Source organism: Homo sapiens, chromosome 20, assembly GCF_000001405.40.
Source record: "Homo sapiens chromosome 20, GRCh38.p14 Primary Assembly".
NCBI classification, from domain to species: Eukaryota; Metazoa; Chordata; class Mammalia; order Primates; family Hominidae; genus Homo; species Homo sapiens.
In genome coordinates this window covers 57329796-57350885 of record NC_000020.11, presented here as the reverse complement: position 1 = coordinate 57350885, position 21090 = coordinate 57329796, and the positions used below count along the sequence as shown (strand labels likewise).

Here is a 21090-nt window from a genome sequence, read left to right as displayed (position 1 = left end):
CCCCCGCCCCCCGTCCCCCCGCCCCCCCGCCCCCCCGTCCCCCCGTCAGTACTAAAAATACAAAAATTAGCCGGGCATGGTGGCGGGTGCCTGTAATCCCAGCTGCTTGGGAGGCTAAGGCAGGAGAATCGCTTGAACCCAGGAGGTGGAGGTTGCAGTGAGCCGAGACCATGCCATTGCACTCCAGTCTGGACAACAAGAGCGAAACTCCATCTCAAATCAGTCAATCAATCCGCAACTAGGGCTAGTGCAAGGTAGCTAGCTGTTTTCTCTTGTGAATTAATTATTGCATTTATCATGTATAAACATCTAAAAGATTCTGATTGCTTCCAATTCACGTCCAAGGCCAACCTCCGAGAAGCTGCTCTAACGCTGCCTCCGAACAAGGCGAGGTCGGCCGCGGGTTTCCCGCCCTGGCCTCTCCCTGTTTGCCCACTGGGGTACCCTGAGCCCACCTCGGGGCTCTTTGGGCCTCAGTTTCCTGCTGCATGGTGGGGAAAATGATGCCAGGGCTGTTCCTAATTAGGGTCAAGTGAAATCATACGTGAACTACTCTTACTAATAGAACTGTCTGTAGAAATGTTAAGGGATTCTTATTACTCACACACGCCCACTCCAAATATTTCAGTTGGTTGTTTCCTCCCAACCCCTACTTTTAGGAGCATCTGAAGAAGGAAGTGAAGGAAAAGACAGATCACAAGGAAGGGATTTCGTGAGGTTATGTAGCTACCCTGGATTCTCTCCTTCACTACTCAGTGTGGTCTGCGTGCCTTGACCTTCTTAAGGAGGTTTAGGATCTGGGGTATCTTTTTATAAAATGCAGATTCAGTAGGTCTACGATGGGCCTAAAAATCCACATTTCTACCAAATTCCCAGCAGAGGTTGCTGGGCCGTGAACCAGAGTTAAGTACCAAGGCTGTAGATCATTTGGAATCCTGGGCAGCTTTTTAAAAACTGTGATGTTTACACTGCACCCTTAGAGATTCTGATTTAGTACGCCTGGGCTAGAAAAGAGGAAATTAATATTTTTTAAAAGCTCCCCAGGTGATTCTAAGATGCAGCCAAGACTGAGAACCTCTAGTCTAGACGATGATGGTAATAATAGCTCTTTTGAGCATCACCCTATGCTAAGCGCTTTAGATGCTCCATCTCCTGTAGTTTCCAGACCAGCCCTAAAAGATAGGTATTGTGATTATCTCCATTTTATAGATATGGAAAATGAAGCTGACAGAGGTGATGTTGTGTCCGGAATTGGTGGGTTCTTGGTCTCACTGACTTCAAGAATGAAGCTGCGGAGCCTCGCGGTGAGTGTTACAGTTCTTAAAAGCAGCGCATCCGGAGTCTGTTCCTTCTGATGTTAAGATGTGTTTGGAGTTTCTTCCTTCTGGTGGTTTATGGCCTCGCTGGCTCAGAAGCGAAGCTGCAGACCTTCGGGCAGTGAGTGTTACAGCTCTTAAGGCGACGCATCTGGAGTTGTTCCTTCCTCCCGGCGGGCTCGTGGTCTCGCTGGCTTCAGGAGTAAAGCTGCAGACCTTTGCGGTGAGTGTTACAGCTCATAAAGACGACGTGGTCCCAAAAAGCGAAAGAACAAACCTCCCACACCGTGGAAGGTGCCCCGAGCAGATTGCCACTACTAGCTCCGGCAGCCTGCTTTTATTCTCTTATCTGGCCCCACCCACATCCTGCTGATTGGTAGAGCCCAGTGGTCTGTTTTGACAGGTCGCTGATTGGTGCCTTTACAATCCCTCAGCTAGACACAAAGGTTCTCCAAGGCCCCACCAGAGTAGCCAGATACAGAGTGTCCATTGGTGCATTTACAAACCCTGAGCTAGACACAGGGTGCTGATTGGTGTGTTTACAAACCTTGAGCTAGATACAGAGTGCTGATTGGTGTATTTACAATCCCTGAGCTAGACATAAAGATTCTCCAAGGCCGCATCAGAGTAGCTAGATACAGAGTGTCGATTGGTGTATTTACAATCCCTGAGCTAGACATAAAGGTTCTCCACCTCCCCACCAGACTCAGGAGCCCAGCTGGCTTCACCCAGTGGATCCCGCACCGGGGCTGCAGGTGGAGCTGCCCACCAGTCCCAGGCCGTGCGCTCGCGCTCCTCAGCCCTTGGGTGGTCCGTGGGACTGGGCGCCGTGGAGCGGGGGTGGCACTCGCGTCGGGGAGGCTCGGGCAGCACAGGAGCCCATGGAGGGGGTGGGAGGCTCAGGCATGGCAGGCTGCAGGTCCCGAGCCCTGCCCTGCGGGAAGGCAGCTAAGGCCCGGTGAGAAATAGAGCGCAGCGCTGGTGGGCTGGCACTGCTGGGGGACCCAGTACACCCTTCGCAGCCGCTGGCCCGGGTGCCAAGCCCCTCATTGCCAGGGGCCAGCAGGGCCGGCCGGCTGCTCCGAGTGCGGGGCCCGCCAAGCCCACGCCCACCCGGAACTCCAGCTGGCCCGCAAGCGCCGCGCGCAGCCCCGGTTCCCGCTCGCGCCTCTCCCTCCACCCCTCCCTGCAAGCTGAGGGAGCGGGCTTCGGCCTTGGCCAGCCCAGAAACGGGGTCCCACAGTGCAGCGGTGGGCTGAAGGGCTCCTCAAGTGCCGCCAAAGTGGGAGCCCAGGCAGAGGATGCCCCGAGAGCGAGCGAGGGCTGTGAGGACTGCCAGCACGCTGTCATCTCTCAATGTGACTTACCAGAGCTCACACAACTGATACAGAGTAGGTCCATGATGTCTGTCCTGTGCCTGACCCTCCTACCAGCAAAGCTTTGGACTCATCTCTGAGAAGTGCTTCAACTACATTTTCTTATCCTTTTTCAATGGAACTCCTCTTACTATCTTTCCTTTAAACTCTCAAAAGCCCTCCCAAAGCTCTCTCAGGGTTTCGAGGCATATTCTGCCTCATTAAATAGTGTATTTGTCTTGTCTAGATTCCTAGATTTAAAACTTGTATCTACTTCCATGTATATGCTTTGCAGCACCAAGCAGAGTATCTTACATGTGTTCGTTATTAATACTTGTTGCATTTTATGTTTCAACGCCCAATGTATCTTCCAGAAGCCTCTATTATGATACAGATTCCTCTATAATCCTGGTTATTCAGCATGCTCTATAAACTCTTCCCGCTGTTTAGGATTATGTAGTTGACAAACTGCTTTTGCATATACCATCAGTGGAACCACTGAGGAGCAGTATGCTCGCCCAAATATTATAGCTGATATTCCAAGACTCTTGTTAAATGGATAATCTCATTTAATCCTCACCATGACCCTACCAAGTCATTATTATTGTTGTTATGCCCATTTTATGGTTGATGAAACTGAGATCAGGTTGTAACTTGTCCCAGCCATAGAGGCAAGGAGTAGACGTAGAATTGGAATGCAAGCAGCCTGCCCCAAAACCTAACTCTACACTTCCACAGGTGGCAGATTATGCTGATTTATGTTTTGCCTCCTAGAAACAAAAAGGGAGAACGGTATTTTATTTTATTTTTTTTTGAGATGGACTCTCGCCCTGTCGCCCAGGCTGGAGTGAGTGCAGTGGCGCGACCTCGGCTCGGTGTAACCTCTGCCTCTAGGGCTCAAGCGATTATCCTGCCTCAGCCTCTCCAGTAACTGGGATTACGGGTGCACACCACCATGCCTGGCTAATTTTTGTATCTTTCGTAGAGACGGGGTTTCACTATGTTGGTCAGGCTGGTCTTGAACTCCTGACCTTGTGATCCGCCCACCTTGGCCTCCCAAAGTGCTGGGATTACAGGCGTGAGCTACCGTGCTCTGCGAGATCAGTAAGATTTTATCCCTGGGTATGATTGTATGATTATTGAGCCATACAATATAGGTGAAAAATAATTAAACAATAGAAAAATAATTAAATTTTGGTAGTGACTGTCATTCAAACTGGTAAACTTTTCTGCCATTTTTACACAGGGAATATTTATGAATAAGTACAGTTTCTATTAATTGCTAGATGAATAGAAACTGAACATGCCTATATTCTTAGCATGAGTTACTTTTCATTTTGAATTTTTAATAAAAGAGATGTAATATGTTGGCTTAAAGTTTTGTGAATAGCTAGGTTGCAAAGAAGCACACATTAAGTGTAGCTTTACAGGGAATTGGGGCATCCAAAGCTGATTAACAAAGCGGATTCCTGTTGAGTGTATCACATAGAAACCCTCTTGGTTTTCCCCAAACTCTTTTGTTGTGACTCAAGACTCTACCCCATTCCTTTAGACAATGACTTGAAAACATTTCAAAGAAATTTCCACCCAAAATAGTGGAAGGAGTTGAGAGAATAATGAGCGTTTGCCAGCAGAGGGCGACCTTGGCTTGTTTCTACAGGATTGTTTCCTTGGGATACCTATCTGTGTAACAGTGAACAGAGAAGTTCATTTAGCAAACAGAAGTGCACGTTTCTCAATATTTCACTACAAAAACATTTCATTGAAAATCTTTTAATGTACATGTATATATAGCTTAGAGAATATGTTCTTTTCAGCACCACTGAACAGATTATCTACATCAAACTAGCAGCTCAACTGAGACACTCAGTAAGGAAGTCATAGATGGAAACCCTGGAGGGTTTTCCTTATTTTTATAAAGTGCACTATGGTTTTTCTTCCCTATGAACTCATAACTTCTGAAATCACTTAGTATCACCAATTATTATAATCAAATTTCTCAGAAAACGGGGGATACTACAAGCAACTTTTAGTTTGTTAGGGTAATTATGAACCCTTAAGGGAAAACTAAGAGTCTCTGAGCACCTTTTTGTTGTACTAGTTTTTGTTGTTATTGTTGTTTGAAACAAGGTCTCACTCTGTCACCCAGGCCTGAGTGCAGTGGTGCAATCATAGCTCACTGCAGCATTGAACTCCTGGTTTCAAGTGATCCTTCCACCTCAACCTCCCTAGTAGATGAGCCTATGGACATGTGCCACCATAACCAACTAATTTTTAAAAATTGAGATGGGAGTCCCATTATTTTGCTCAGGCTGGTCTTGAACTCCTGGGTTCAAGCAATCCTCCTCCTCAGTCTCCCAAAGCTCTGGGATTACAGGTGTGAGCCACCGTGCCCAGCCTTGTTGTATTAGTTTTTATACATTTTAATTTTAAAGATTCCAATCTAATGTTTTCTTGATTAAAATTATGGAAATATCCAAATTAGATACAGTTAGATGATGGTAGATGAGATTATTGTTATCAGTTACCATTTTAAATGCTAAGTATTATGGTAATCCTTTTTAGAAAGAAATCTTTAGAATTAGAATTCTAGATGGTTCCCAAATAGCTACTAGCATTAATTTTTCATTTTCATCTAATAAAGATAGGTAGTAACGTCAAACTATAGTGTATTTTGCTCTCTTTCCATTTTCATTTCCCAAATAATTGAAAATTATTTTAAGTAAATTTGCAATAATAAACTTGAGATGACTTAATTATCCAAACTGGAGGTATCTGTCTTTTTCAAATTTATTTTTAAATTTGAATGACTATCGTAGATTTGTCACTCCTTCCCATTTTGATAGTATATCCTAAGCCAGATGTGTCGTGGGTTAAACATATTTTTAAGTTAGTAATTTCTTCCTTTACAAAGCATACCAAAGTTAAGTGACACTGTTACATGTTAAAGGAGTAAGTATGGTATAAATTCAGAGGAAATTTTTTCTTATTTATAAAAATGTTTTTAGAATTTTTGATAGTCTCACGAGTAAGTAAAATTAACAGCATACCAGAATGTTCCCAAAATGAAATGTGTGGTTCCTATGTGACCAGGGAATATAACATATTTGTTAATTGTAGGTATGGTATCGGGGGATCTTGATTTGACACTAGCCAACAATAAGACTTGCAGACCTTTCCATGCAGTGAGGACACAGACCACACGTGAAGTACTTTACCTGTACTAGCGCCATGGTACCCACACTTTCTGGTTTGAAGTCCCAGCTCCACTGCTTATTAGTTATGTGACCTTGGGAAAATTATTTAACCTTTCTGTACCTTTGTTTTCTCACCTGTAAAATGGGGGTGATTTTTTAAAAGTACCTAGCTCATAAGGTTTCTGTGAAGATGCAATGAGTTATTGTTTACAAAGCACCTACAAAAATACCTAGCACATAGTAAGTGCTATGTATGTATTTTCCTTTATTATTATATTACCTTCTTCAATCCTTACTACATACAACCTCTTGGGCAGGCCCAGCCTCACAGGTGTACCACCCGTGCAGTCACCCAGGACCCCAGGCTAAGAAGGGCCTGTGCTTGGTTTAATTCTCTGCTGCTATCATCTTGAAATTCTTAATAAAAAGGGATCCCACATTTACATTTTGCATTGAGACCCACATTTTCTTGAGGTAGGTAGTATTATTGTCCCCTGGTATTATTGTGGCTTTGGACAAATAGCATCCTCAGTGTTCTCACCTGAAAACTATGGTGTAGTTACCCAGTAATTACAAGGTCCTTGGGGGAATTAAATGAGATACTGAATCAGCAGTGATTGGCACATGTAAGTTCTCAGAAATGGTATATATTATTATTATTGTTACCATTTCTCTTTATAAAATAGCTAACCTAATATTACCGTGCTTCTATAAATTCTTATTCTTGCTTGCAAGCACAAGAAACTTTCAGTGCAGTTAAAGGTTTACTGAAAGTACAGAATAAAATCATAAAACTGACCTCTGGCAAAATTAAGATAGGTTTATGGAGGGAAAAGGTCACATATTTACTGTTGGAGAAGTACCTTATTAAAATCTGAGGCTTCTGTAGATCTTAAAACTGAAGAAGTTTTTTGTTCTATAGACAGACTAGAGAAGCATTCAAGACCTTCGAGAAACTTTTCAAATAAATAATATTATCAATAAAAAATAGGCTCAATACAAAATAAAGCAAAACACTGAAGACTACATCAATCCAAATATTTATTCATACTGAATTTTACTAATGTAACAAATGAATTAATGGAGTAAGACCCCTAAAGTATAAAGGCAAAGGAAAATGTAAGAAGAAACTACCGGACACCACAATTCATTTGCAACATCTCAAATTCAGATCATTATGATTTTTGTTACCAGTAAGATACTTTATGCGTTAACATTAGTTGTATCGTAGAAGGTAAATATTTTGTAGACTTTGATGACATGTATAAAATATTATTTTTTCAAAAATAATTTAAAGGTCAAAATAACATATTCTTTTATAATTTGCTTTAGAAGATAGGACAGAAATCTGTCTCTATAGAGGCAAGAATAAGGCCTTGCAAAGAAAATTGGAGTACAGCATTTGTTTTGACAAAAATATATAATTAACGGAAAGTTATTTTATTTCACTTTTACAGAATTAAGAATATAATATATGTTCTTTCCACAATAGTATTTGCCAATCAAAACAAAACTAATGAAAAGCCTCTGGCAATCAGAAGTTCTTCTGATTTATTTTTATATCCATCCTCCAAATTTTAATTTGTTAGGTAAGTACACTCTGGAAAGATAATCTGATGATAGGAAAGTCAAAGCTTGAATTTCTGCCTTCATTTTAGAGTCTGCCATTATTTCCATCTGTCAATAAAAGTAAAATGTACTCATACCAGAGTTCTTAGTTGCATTTCTGTCAATTCAACAAACTAGTAATCTAGAATTGCTTTATTCTCCAAAACCAGGGACAATAGTCTTAAGGGTCAGCCAGAATATTCCAGAGCTGCTACAGCTAAAAATATCTGGAGTGAGAGTACTCTGTATGCTGTCTTCAATAATTAGGGATAGTCTGAAATCTTTATGATTTCTTCTTCCTTTTTTTAATCCCACAAACTATGATACAGCCATCAAGAATGTGTATATAACCATGATAAGGATACAAACAGGCCAGCTCCATTCACTGATCTCATCTATTAGCATTCATATGACTCAATTTCAACAACTATTTACTGCCAAACAACACTTATGTTAGTCGTGTCATATAAAATTTCAAGAGGGATATTTTCAAAATACGATGTGAATAGCCACTACTAAAGTAAAAGACAATTAAACATGCAACACTTGAGTTGTAAAAGGAAACATACTTCTTTTCTCCAAAATGGTTGGCAGGTAACATAAGGTCTCCTCAGGATACTGTCAAGTTTCATTTGGTCCCTTTTTGTCAGTGGAATCAAACTATCTTTAGGTACATTTAATCTGGAAAAAAGTAGGTGAAAAAAATCAGTAAAAAAGTGTTTCTGTAACTTGAATGTCCTGTATTTTGCCTGTATTTATGGTACTACTTCAAGAAACTCAGAAATAAGAAAATTAGTACAGATCTACCTCTTACATCCAGGATTGAAGGGATCTGTCATGTCTTAGACCAGCAAGTTTTCAAGTTCATAGTGGAAGTTTGTGTTTCCACAGTAAGATTCTAAAGTTTTTGTTTTCCTTCATGTCACACTCGTGGGATGATGACAGGATGACAGGAAGACTGATATTGGTTATTAAACAAATGCCAATAGCACTACCATCAGGTATACAGATACCAGGGCAGCTTAATAATGTACATTAAGCCTCTCAGAGCTTCACACTCTTCTGGCAGTGAGCTCCAATATGCATGGCCAACGGCTGAGATTCACTGAGGGACTTTAGGTTCCATTGAGTATTTAATTCTTCATAATTCATTTGAAGATTCTGGGCCATGGAAGTTAGTGTCTCACTTTTATCATTTTACACACACACACACACACTTTTATCACTTTACACACACACAAACACATTCTTACCTATCTAGTTTTAAATTTGAAAAACGTGGAATATAACTTTATCATGGTATGTGTTTTAAAAATAGAACATGAGAGGTCCTGGATTTATGGTGTGGACTACCTTTTGAAGTCACAAATCCTAGATTTCCCAGGAGAGTCTTTTTCAATGTGTCCATAATTATGACCATTTGCCAGGGGCAGTTCTTGGATAGGGGTGACAATTTGATTGAAAGGGAGGCCTGGAGGATTTCCCTTGCAGCCTGGCTTCTGTAGCTACCATAGTGTTTTTCCTTTGATCGTATATTCATTTGGAGTGGCTTTTTAGTGCACTGATAGAATTTATGAGATGCAGCTAGAGTTTCTTGAAGCTATTCACCTTACTAATTATCAGATCATATGTCTTGAATTTGTGTTAAAATTGTTTTTATACAAACAGATCACCCCCAAGGGATTCTGACCATGACACACATACACTAAATTGAACACGTTAATCCAGTGGAGTGTGAATATTCAAAAATAAAGAATGAAATGTTTCCTCTTGGACCCTCATTTTATAGGAAGTGGCTGATCACCCAAAACCTGTTCACATTCCATATTTAGGAAACAAGCAACTGTTATCAAGGATTGCTCACCACTTAAAGAAATCCAATAAACATGTTTAAATTCATTCTTACTGACCAATTACAACAATAAAACATTTTAAAATATCACATTAGCAGAGGTGAAAAAAAATGTTAATGCCATAAGCTGAGGGACAGGTGGACTCTTACTCTTCAGAGAAAGCAAGAAACTTAATCTATCCAGACAACAGTCAAACCCTGATTATGGGGATCCTCTTTGACCCACCAGTTCTTCTGGGAATTCAGCCTAAGGGACTAACTAAGGATGTGCATAGAGATTTAGTTACAAGAGACTGCATCAAAGCACGACCTATCAGAATAGAGATTTGGAAACCACTTAAATGGCTATGAGGGAATGGCTGAATAAACACTAGCACATCTAGAGTTAAAACTCAGCAACAAAAGATGCTAAAATAAGAAATGTACTTTATTGACATGGAAAAGTGATCACATTATTTTGTTGTGTTTTAAAAAAAGCAGATTATAAAATAACAGAGTATGATCTCAGTTTTGTGAAAAAGTTATGGCTATGCACAGAAAAAAAATCTACAAAGGTAAGGCTGCTGATCTGTAGGTGATATTTAACTTGTTGCTTAATATTTTTTTCTATAATGAACATATATAATAAACTTGCCAAACTTGAAGTTCCCAAATTTTAATACTCTTAAAATGATATTTTTCTTTTGAAGTTAAAAATTTAAATCTATGACAAAAATTGATTCATATGGCAAATGATGTTGTCAATGGTTACAATTTAATTGGATTTACTATATTGTACTTTTTTTTTTTTGGAGACAGAGTCAAGCTCTGTCACCCAGGCTGGAGTGCAGTGGTGCGATCGTGGCTCACTGCAACTGCCGTCTCCCAGGTTCAAGCAATTCTTGGGCCTCAGCCTTCCCGGTAGCTGGGATTACAGGCATACACCACCACCACACCCAGCTAATGTTTGCATTTTTAGTAGAGACAGGGTTTTGTCACGTTGCCCTGGCTGGTCTCAAACTCCTGGCCTCAAGTGATCCGCCCACCTTGGCCTCCCAAAGTGCTGGGATTACAGGCGTCAGCCACCATGTGCCCGGCCTACAATGTATTGTACTTTTAAGTATAAAAAGTGTATAAAATGTCTTAACCATAAAAGTAAAACAGAAAGTTTTAGCTAGCTGAAAGTGTAACACATTAACCAAATTCATGTGTTAAATATTTTAGTAGTTGAAACAGAAACATTAATGAATTTAATTCATAATTACATAATCATAAGTCATCGTGGACAATATAAATAAAAAACATTAAGAGCTTTCCCTTGTAGTGACTTTTTAGGCTTATTGTTACATATGATAATGAACTGTCATTTTAAATATCCTAGTTCTGCTATACTATCTAACCTTTTAAGATCAGAAGGGAGAAGACCAAGCCATCTAATAGCTGGAACTGTGAGATGATGAGCTTCAAAAGACATAGACTAAAATAAAGAACAAAAGTATATTAGGTGAGGCTAAATTGTAGAAAACTAGCATTCTTGTTTTTCAGTCAAATTTTTCACTTATTAAGAAGGACAAGTACTAAAGCTGGCTTCACATGCCCAGAGCCCACAGAAGTAAGAAAACCATCAGGGGCTATGCTAAGCTGGGCTTTTAGTGAAGGTGTTAAAACTTCTCTGGGTTAAGTGCGGTGGCTCATGCTTGTAATCCCAGTACTTTGGGAGACCAAGGCGGGAGGATGGCTTGAGCTCAAAAGTCCAAGGTTGCAGTGAGCTGTCACTGCACCACCGCACTCCAGCCTGGATGACAGAGTGAGACCCTGTCTCAAAACAGCAACAAAACAACAACCACAACTTCTATATAGTGTTTCTGTATTAATTTTCTAAAGCAAACTATAAATGAAGCCCTCTGACCTACATTTCTTATTGTTCATGATTCCCCATCTTACACCCTGCTCCACCATCCTTTTCATCTGCTATAAATTTCACCATGCATCAGAATGCTTGGAGGATCCCACCCCTAGAGATTTTGGCTCAGTAGTTCTGGATGGGGACTGAGATTTGCATTTCTAAGAATCTTCCAGATGATGCTGATGCTCCTGGCTTAGGACCACACTGTGAGACCACTGGTATATGGTAATTGTAGACACTGGTGGTGACATTTATTGTTTCCATTTCTCCTTATGGTGGGAGAAAAGGGATTAGAAAAGTCAGAATTCAAGGCTCTATATAATATTTCGAGTATATTTGGTGATCAGACAGCGTTGTTGTCACCCCAGAGCCCCACAGTTCCTTCAGTATGCCAAGAGAGTGCAGGATAATAATGCTGCTTGCCCACAGCTAATCCCACTCTGTCATCTGTGTTTGCACTGGTCATACTGGGAGCTGGAGTCACAGCCACCGACACACAGATTGCTCCTAGAATAGGATACTAGGCCCTCAGGTACACTTTGGGCACTCTCAGCCTGCTTGGGGGTGATTAATAAATGCAGAAATCACCTCAATGAATATAAAATGTCTAAATAATAAAAAAGGAAAACTGCTTTTCTATACTTACCATAGATCCATACTTATAGATGCACATTATTTCTATGCCTGTTAAAAGAAAGTTAACTATAAAATTAGTCTCCTTACATATTACAGGTTAATTTGCACTCTCAAATTTTATCTATCTATAATTTTAATTTTGTGGACATCACCAGTGAAAAATTTATCATTCTCAGTTTAATATGACAAAGTAACGATAAATTGTGTCAAATAATTATAGACCAAATTTTAATGTAATCATTTTCTTTTAAAATGTTTCATAAGTGTCCCGAGAGTAGAAAACACAACTACAGGCTGGGCACGGTGGTTCCTGCCTGTAATCCCAGCACTTTGGGATGCCGAGGTGGGCAGATTACCTGAGGTCAGGAGTTCGAGACCAGCCTGGCCAACATGGTAAAACCCCGTCTCTACTAAAAATATAAAAAATTAGCCAGGCATGGTGGCATGTGCCTATAGTTCCAGCTACTCAGGAGGCTGAGGCAGGAGAATCACTTGAACCCAGGAGGTGGAGGTTGCAGTGAGCCAAGATCGCGCCATTGCACTCCTGGGTGACAGAGCAGGACTCAATCTCAAAAAGAAAAAAAAAAAAAGAGGAAGAAAACACAACAACAAATATGATTTAGTTATGACTATTGTTGTAAATAGTCCAGTGATAAATTACCATGTGGATCAGCATCTACAAGAGTGAAAACAGGAACATGAAATGTATCCCACAGTTTCTTGACTAAAAGTCTTGTGTTTAGATCAGGAACTCCCTTTCCCTAAAAGGAAGATGAAAATTAAGAATTTTAACTTCAGTAGAATAAAATGGTTACAATTATACTCTTATTAATAATTTAAAAGTTAGGCTGGACGCAGTGGTTCACGCCTGTAATCCCAGCACGTTGGGAGGCCAAGGTAGGGGGATCGATCACCTGAGGTCAGGAATTTGAGACCAGTCTGGCCAACGTGGTGAAACCCCGTCTCTACTAAAAATACAAAATTAGCCAGGTGTGGTGGTACACGCCTGTAATCCCAGGTACTCGGGAGGCTGAGGCAGGAGAATCACTTGAACCTAGGAGGCAGAAGTTGCAATGAGCCGAAATCACGCCATTGCACTCCAGCCTGGGCAAAAAGAGTGAAACTCCACCTCAAAATCATAATAATAATAGTAATAATAAATTATAGGTTATGCTCATACAACGGTTAGTACTCTGCATGTGGCCACAGCAACCCTGGTTCATATCTGAGTCACAGCACCAAAAAAAAGGGTTACATCTTCCTACCTTGGATTTCAGGTGCTGAAAGACTGGTGTTGACTGTGAAAAAAAAATGTACATTATATACAAACAGACTGAAGGACTGGGAATTATGCCAGTCCTAGGAAATGGTCCTAAGGAAATATTTCAGCAAAAACAGAAATAATAAACATCCTACATATTTAAAGATGCTCACTGAAGTGTTATTTAAAATGGCGCAAACTAATATAAATAGCCAAAATATCTAACAACAGGGATGTGGAGAGGCAGCATAGTACAGCGGTGATCTGCAGCAGTTGCGGGGCTAGGCAGCCTGAGCTCGCATCTCAGCTCTGCTACTTCTTAGCAGCATGAACTTGAATGAGTAACAAAACCACTCTGTGGTTTGATGCTCTGTAACAACATATGAGATTATTATAGGAATTAAATTATTTAATAATCATAAAGCACTTAGAAGAGTACCTGGCTTAAATTTAGGGTTTAATAAAACTTAAATGGTGGGATAATATTATGAAGTCATTAAAATAATAATTATGTAGAAAAGTAAATTGAAGAGTGTTACAACAATGTTAGAGAAAAGCAGAAAACCAAATGAAACAGAGAGCAGAGGAAGAGCGCAGAGTAGCCCTAGAGATTCAGAATGGGCTTCGGGTCACAGCTCCGAGTTTGAATTCCCTCTCTGCCCATCATCAGTGGTGTGATGTTGGGCAAGTTTCTTAGTCTCTTTAGGCCATGGCTTTATCTATAAAATCAGCATAAATATGCCTATCACACCAAGTGATGGCATTATAGCAACATGGATTTCAACTATTCAAATCCAGTCCTGGTTTTGAATAGCCATAGAGACGTGGTAAAATACCTTCCTGCATTCCAGTACCCCATTATTAAAGTGACGATGATGTTAGTACCTACCTCCTAAGGCCATTGAGAGCCTATACAAGTTGACATGTGATAAACACCAGTAAATGTGAACTCTTACTATGTCAAGTGCTTAGCAGGGGTCCTAGCTCATCGTGAGTATTTAGTGTATTTTCATAATGTTCTTTGGGAAAAATAATAGCACATGAACACAGTAGAGGAGTCAAACAGGGTTAAAGGACCTGGTGAAAAATGGCTCTTCCTAATATGGCCCTCGAGTCCCAGCCTCTTCTTGAGAGGCATTTGCGAGAGATGTTTATGGAGGCAGTGAGGAGCGCTGCCCTGGAGAGGAGGCGGAATGGAGTCTTAGAAGGGCTGACCAGTTCCACAGAGGCATCCAGATTTGGAGTAGAAGTATCAGACAAAACCAAAAGTTTTTGAACTGGCAAGGAGGGAAATGACAAGTCTGGTGTGGCAGGGATGAGAGATAATTGAAGTCAGGGGCCTGTCTGGAGGCTACCAGGTGGTTGTCTTGTGTAAGAATGAAAGGGGAAGGATTAAGGAGAAAGGGCTGAAATGAAAGAGATTCCCAAGGCCAATTCAAAAGGACTTGGTGACCATGGGATGTGAGGAGTAAGTCAAACTGACTCTGACGTGTGGACCTCATTGCAGTGTCTGCACTGATAGCCACAGGACAAGTGGCAGGAACACTCAGCTTTTCAAGGAAGAAAGCTTTTGAGTGTGGTTTTAGAAACATGAACTTATCAAGGTTACAGTGCTCTATGATCATGCCATGGTACTTCGGCCTGGGCAACAGAGCGAGACCCTGTCTCTATTAAAAAAAAAAGAACTTGAGGTGATAGCCAGCTTTGAGGATGTTTAAATAAACACATTGGAAATTCCCGTTCTATGATCCCAAAGGATGCATTATATTGAAAACAGGACATTGTGTAGATAATATTGTAAATCCTCTTACCAATCACCATAACAGTATACATTAGTCTTGGAATTGTAGTAAAGTTAGATAATATACCGTAATCATGATGCAAGGAGACAATTTGTTGCAAAAGTTGTCATCTAGGAGCCGCTGAAATGTTGCATCTTTTTCTACAATTAATACAAACTTTGCATCTGTAACTAAATCTGTGAAGTTAAGGCTGATAAATTGAAAGCAAGAGTATTTCAATTTAATCACCAACTAAATTAAGGTGCCATATAGATAATTCAAAAGCAGCTATAGATACAACATTTTAGTTTGTACCTTCAAACATATAAACACATCTATTCATATATTCAGATATCTGTCTCTTCCACTAGATGGTGAGCTCCTAAAAGAGTACTAAAGAAGGGACCATGGTGTGTTCATCTTGACTGCTACAGGGCCTAACTTGTTCCTTACACATTATGAAGGCTTGGCTTACCAAAGGAATTAATGAATGAATGAACATTCCAAAAGTTTAAATAGTTTTCCCACTTAAAGGATACTCCGAATTCCTTGAATATTCGATGGCACAGCAACAGCCTTTTAAAAAAAAAGTTTTTATCTTACATAAAAAGCAAAATAACCACATTTTTAGTTTATCACAAAGCCCTCTGTTTTTATTTTTCTTTGACCATACCAGTCATCAGAGACTTCTTCCTCTGTTAAAAAATAGTAGAAAACAGCTTTACCCCTCAGTAAGAAAACCGGCACATGACTCACAGCAATTCTCCCAACAGGGGTACTAAGTTTAGTACTGTGGGCTCTCTTTGTATCAAAGCCCAGCAAATAGTTTAGTATTAAAAATATTACTTTCAGAACCAGAAAATTTTATGAACATTACTAAATAACATGCTAAAATGACCAAGCCACACTTTATCTGAAAATAATAGTGCATTTTTAAGAGTTATATTTGTATGTTTATTTCAATCTGACATTTGACAATTAGCATAATTTGAAACTATGTAATGTACAGTTCTGTAAAGCATATTCCTATCCATCTTTCAGTTTTATTTTGAAATCTTAAGCTCTAGGTTACATAATAAAGCAAGAAATAAAATTATGCTTCAAAACTGAAGGAGCTAGAAGAGTTAAAGCTGTGAAAACTTCAATGATGCTTCTTACCGTTGCACCACAGGTACAATTCACTTTGGTGCCATCTTCCTCGATGTATCTTAAGTTGCCAGCAATTAAACCTTTTGATGTAGATAACTGCAAAAAATAATAGACATATTTGAAACCTGCTTCACGAATATGTTTTATGCTATTAAGTCACTCCTTGTGTTCATCTGCTGAATTACTGGCATTTTCACTTGGATTGAAATTTCAGAGATGAAAGAGAAAATATGTAAGGGATTTAGGAATTAAAAATATTTGGTAATTCATCAGTTTGGTCCATTCACCCAAAGGAATATATTGAGAATCTATTACTTAAATTTATAGTGAGAAAAATGCAAGCATCAAATAATAGCAAAAGAAGACTATATTATGTTTTAAAATTATGTTTTGTCTGGGCGCGGTGGCTTACGCCTGTAATCCTAGAACTTTGGGAGGCCGAGGCAGGTGGATCACGAGGTCAGGAGATCGAGACCATCCTGGCTAACACAGTGAAACCTAGTCCCTACTAACAATACAAAAAATTAGCCGGGCGTGGTGGCAGGCGCCTGTAGTCCCAGCTACTCGGGAGGCTGAGGCAGGAGAATGGCATGAACCCAGGAGGCAGAGCTTGCAGTGAGTTGAGATCGCGCCACTGCACTCCAGCCTAGGCGACAGAGCAAGACTCCGTCTCAAAAAAAAAAAAAAAAATTATGTTTTATACAAACATTTTGTTTTAAAATAAAATGTTTTGTATTAGGTACTACTTACTATATGTAGACTCCTCCTTGACACTTTTAACATGCAAGAAATGTCATTGATAATATTGTCGACGACAGTCTGGTTACCAAAGAGTTGACTGTCAGTGTAATATATGTCCCTATGAAAATTTAAAATACATATTTTTAATTAACTATATTCTTTTTGAATATGACAAGTATTACAGTGTTAATTGAAGAAAGCTTTAACTGGATGAAAACACAACATATAAAGAAAGTAAATTATGAGCTATAGTTTAGTCTTATGTAACTTTTCAAAGCATATAATAAAAGTTAATCCAACTATTTCTCACATTACATTTTGAAGAGTAATTTACTAGAACAATATATTTACCTTTTGGTTGCATAAGTGTTGCTCTGTACTAATTTATAAATCATGGACAATATTTTAAGGATTAGAGCTGGAAAATAAAATTCAACAAACAAGTTACTCATCATTTCTCTTACTGATTCAAAAGATACTGCTATCAAGGATTTTAACTTAATTTTAGTTAACATTTAAAAAATTATCTTTCCAAAATGGGAGGGTTAAGTACAGAACAATTACCTGCAGAATCAGTTAAAATTAATTGCTCTATGGATAGCAAAACTGAGAGGATAATTATGCACTGAACCATATACCTTGAAAAATGTTTATGTTGATAACCTACTTCCATAGTTATTGACAATGAAAAATTATAGAAATTTATTTTATGTATGAAAGTGATCTATTAAAAACAGGTAAAATTATTTAACTAGCAACAAATAAAATTGAGAAGATAACAAAATTTATTTATCCTTTATTACCAAAAGCTAAGAACAATTAACTTACAAAATTTTTGAGCTGATTTTGGTGAATCACTTTTGATCTTTCTGGTGGTGCAATGGGATACCATCTGAAGACCCACAGAATCTTCAAACCTGTCATTTTGTTTAAAGCAAAGGAAAAAAGTGAAAAAGACAACTTCTAAACACCAAACAATATATACTTATGGTCTTCTGCACATCATTTAAAACCCACATTTCTTCTCAATTTAAGCACTGAAGCTTTAGGATCAACTGGTTTGAGAGCATAGATCATTCCAGGTGATAACTAGGAAATTAGGTTTGTGACATACAGAGGCACTAAGATAAACCATTTAACATAAATGAGCTAACACCTTTGATTAGGGGGTGTGGGAGTGTGTTTGTGTGTGTGCATACTTTTTTACTGGGAAGACATTTTTAGTGTATGTAAAATGTTTTCAAATATTTCACAATTAGTACTTTACTCATTTTAATAACCTACTCATTTAATAATTTTACTCAATTTAATAAGCTTTGAAATGTTTCATTTCTGATTTACCTGCAAAATTACATTACATAAAATAACAATTTTATTAGGTTAAGTTGAACTGCCAAGCTTCCCCTAAAGGTGGCAGAAGGCACCAGGTGGATATGTCAGGTGTAAGCTGCTTCAAAGCTAGATAAAATCCATCTTTCAAAACATGACTGAAAAGTATACAGCTTATATTACTTATATAGATCATAAAACAACAGTGATGAAGGAGACTCAAAATTCCTTTCATTTTGTTTCTGTATCTCTTAAAAAATATGAGAGGCTGGAAAAAACCGGTATAACTAGGTTCAAGAATTCTGATAAAGCTGTTTGCTGATTTTACCCTTTTTGGACACATGATTTAGCAGGGGCAGAAGATCTGTCAGGAGAAAGCCTTAAATGTGCTCTATGTTCAGGATACTTTTATTTTGGTCTGGTATCAGGATTGGTTATATTTCCCCTGAGCAAGTGGTTTGCTTTTGTGGCATATGTGAGAATTGCACCCATGACATCTCCCCCTCTGACTGCTAGAAAGCTTAGCTCCAAGTATGGTGCCTATTCTTAGCAAAATTATGAGACTTTATCACATGCATTTGGAATTCTAACCTCTTCTGGTGCTCCATTCTGTTGGTGCTAGCATTGTTTTCCTTTGCCTCATCTTTCACACCTACTTCTAGTTTACATAACCTCTCTGTATGGTATGTATTTCGTAAACTTCCTAAATCCTTTTTTTTGGCAAGGTAAAGGCAATAAAATGAAAAAAATATGACCAGAACTCTAATTCAAATAATTTTAATAATGACATAGATATTGCATTTAAAAAATAAAAATGCAAAATGCCCACTTTATGTTTTCCCAGCTTGATCTGTTGTCTATCGTGAATGCAGGTGCTTCATTTCTTGCCAAGCTTGTGATTATGTCTTGGATAATATTTTCTATAGATGCAAGAACCTCAGAACTGAAACAATAAACAGAGCATGATTCCATCTTAATCATAAATTTTGACTTTTTAATATGTAAGATTTTCCCAGATCAATACTAAAGTAACTTTTTATTTTATTCTTTTTTAAGACTAGGTAATTGGGGTGGGGTTTTAAAAAAAGACAAAAAAAAAGACTAGGTAATCCATGTCAATAATTATCTCTCCCATTAAACCTTTACTACTGCATTAAAACAACTGTATTTACAAATAAATTTCATTTGCTTGTAATTTTACTTCTCAAGCAATTACCAATGGAAGGTCTCCCTTTTACATTAATGACTAAATTTACAACTGTAATTTTATCATATTAACCTACTGTAATCTAGCTGAACTTGAATACAAACTAGACTTGACATACTACTGATATATGTTTTAATTAAAAAGTGATACAATATTGGCTTTGAATTTCTTTCCCAAAAATGCAATGCAAAAATTTCAAAAGAAACACCTTTTGTGGTCGCACATTACCCTAGTTGATCTCATGCCTTAAAATCGGCTCTTTTGAAATTTAGCGATACAAAAAGGAAAACGTTTAATCACTACCCTGGAAAGAATAAATTGTGAGTTCTGCAACAAACGGTTGACTTGGCAGCTATTACGCCACTCTACAGCAAAATGCGAAGACTAAGCCCAGTTTTCTGTCAGCTGACTGTTAATTTCACAAGCCATCAGCTGCAAAAAATGTTGTTCTGTTATAAACACCATGAGCTTATTGTCTAGGAAGAGAAATCAAATGCACTCTAGAAAACGGGCAAAATGTTGAGAGTTTTAATTTCCACAGGAACTTCAGAATTTTTACTGAAAACTTGTGTTTCAGAAAATGAATTTTAAAACATTTAATCTATTCTAATATTGGGAGGTAAAAACTGACCCAAATACTCATTTTTCCTAGTTTGGAGAAAAAAAGTGTTGCAGGATAATACTGTAACCAACTTTAAGATACAATCAGATTCGTCTACATCTGCGATATTAACAAGGGACTTGCCACTCTCCTTTTCCCTCACTCTCCCAAGTTCTCCCTCAAAATAAATTCTTTTGTAAAAATTGGTTTGTTTGTAGGTTTTTCAGATTTTTTGGTGGTTGGTTTGGGCTTAAAAATAAAAGGCTGAAAAACTTTGCTCAACCAAGAAAGCAAGTCGAGGAAACAAAATAAAGTATTTTTAAGTGAAAATGGTCAATAACGTAGTCATGTTTTCTGTGGTTAATTCTAACATGGATAGCTGGAGGGTTCCTGTAATTGATTTTAAATAAATCATTTAAAATATGTACATTCTCTCCACTTGCAAAACAATTAAACATGTTGTCTTATTATAAACCACTTAAAATGTGTTGATGTCCTTGTTAATTCTGAGAAAACCATTCGCTTACTGAGAGAAGACATACAACACTCATTTTCTTTCTAAAAAAAAACCAAAAAATAAAAACCAAAAAAAACCCTTAAAGTTTAACCAAAAATTTTATCCCAAAAAACGTTTAAAAAATACAAAGCTAACTGTACCCCAAACTCCCCAACCTATAAGGATCTTAGGAAACCTTCCAACCCAGCTGCAGGGAGCCTCTGGAACGTTCTAGAAGGGGAACATCCTAGAAGCCACAGAAGGGGGGCTGCCACCTGGCTTTCTTTTTTGAGTTCAAAATAAGGGTTCAAAGCAGGTCACGGGTACTCAGGAAGGATCTTTTTGGGGGTTCCTGGCTGGCCCGCCAAGGGGTGCCTCCTCAGCCTCAACACTAGGAGGCAGCCCGGGGCCAGGAAGAGCGCCCGACTTTTCTACAGAGTGGCTGCGTCGCGCCTCGGCACCAGCTCCTGTACCTGGAGGCCAGGCGGCTTCCCCCAGTTGGGGGCTCCCTGCCACCTCTCCTCAGGGCAGCCAGCAGGGACTCCCTGTGTCGGTCCAAAACGTCGAAGAACGAGGCCTCGGGCCCCATAGGTGCAAAGGCCATGAGGGCAGACGGCTGCCAGAAGCTCCAGAAGCCCCTGTCCTAGGCTGCGCCCTTGGGGCGTGGCTGCGTGCC

At 39.1% G+C, this 21090-nt stretch overlaps 1 protein-coding gene across 8 annotated transcripts; it reads right to left on the bottom strand.

Moving 5' to 3' along the window:
- SPO11 (SPO11 initiator of meiotic double strand breaks) lies at positions 6893-21083 on the bottom strand. 8 transcript variants are annotated; one of them, XM_005260379.4, is made up of 14 exons: positions 20888-21083; positions 18940-19053; positions 17610-17698; positions 17133-17199; positions 16791-16899; positions 16050-16136; positions 15431-15467; positions 14979-15088; positions 13115-13147; positions 12511-12610; positions 11860-11897; positions 10708-10784; positions 8046-8157; positions 6893-7545 (listed from the first exon to the last, which is right to left on the bottom strand). In XM_005260379.4, exons 1-14 carry the CDS (start codon positions 21016-21018, stop codon positions 7426-7428), a joined length of 1224 nt encoding a protein of 407 aa, XP_005260436.1. In that variant the 5' UTR covers positions 21019-21083; the 3' UTR covers positions 6893-7425. The 8 variants fall into 8 exon arrangements, with proteins under 8 accessions (XP_005260436.1, XP_005260437.1, XP_011527059.1 ...); XM_005260380.4 differs by having other exon boundaries at positions 14979-15082; XM_011528757.3 differs by lacking the exon at positions 20888-21083 and adding an exon at positions 20690-20766.
- Positions 21084-21090: the final 7 nt, after the last annotated feature.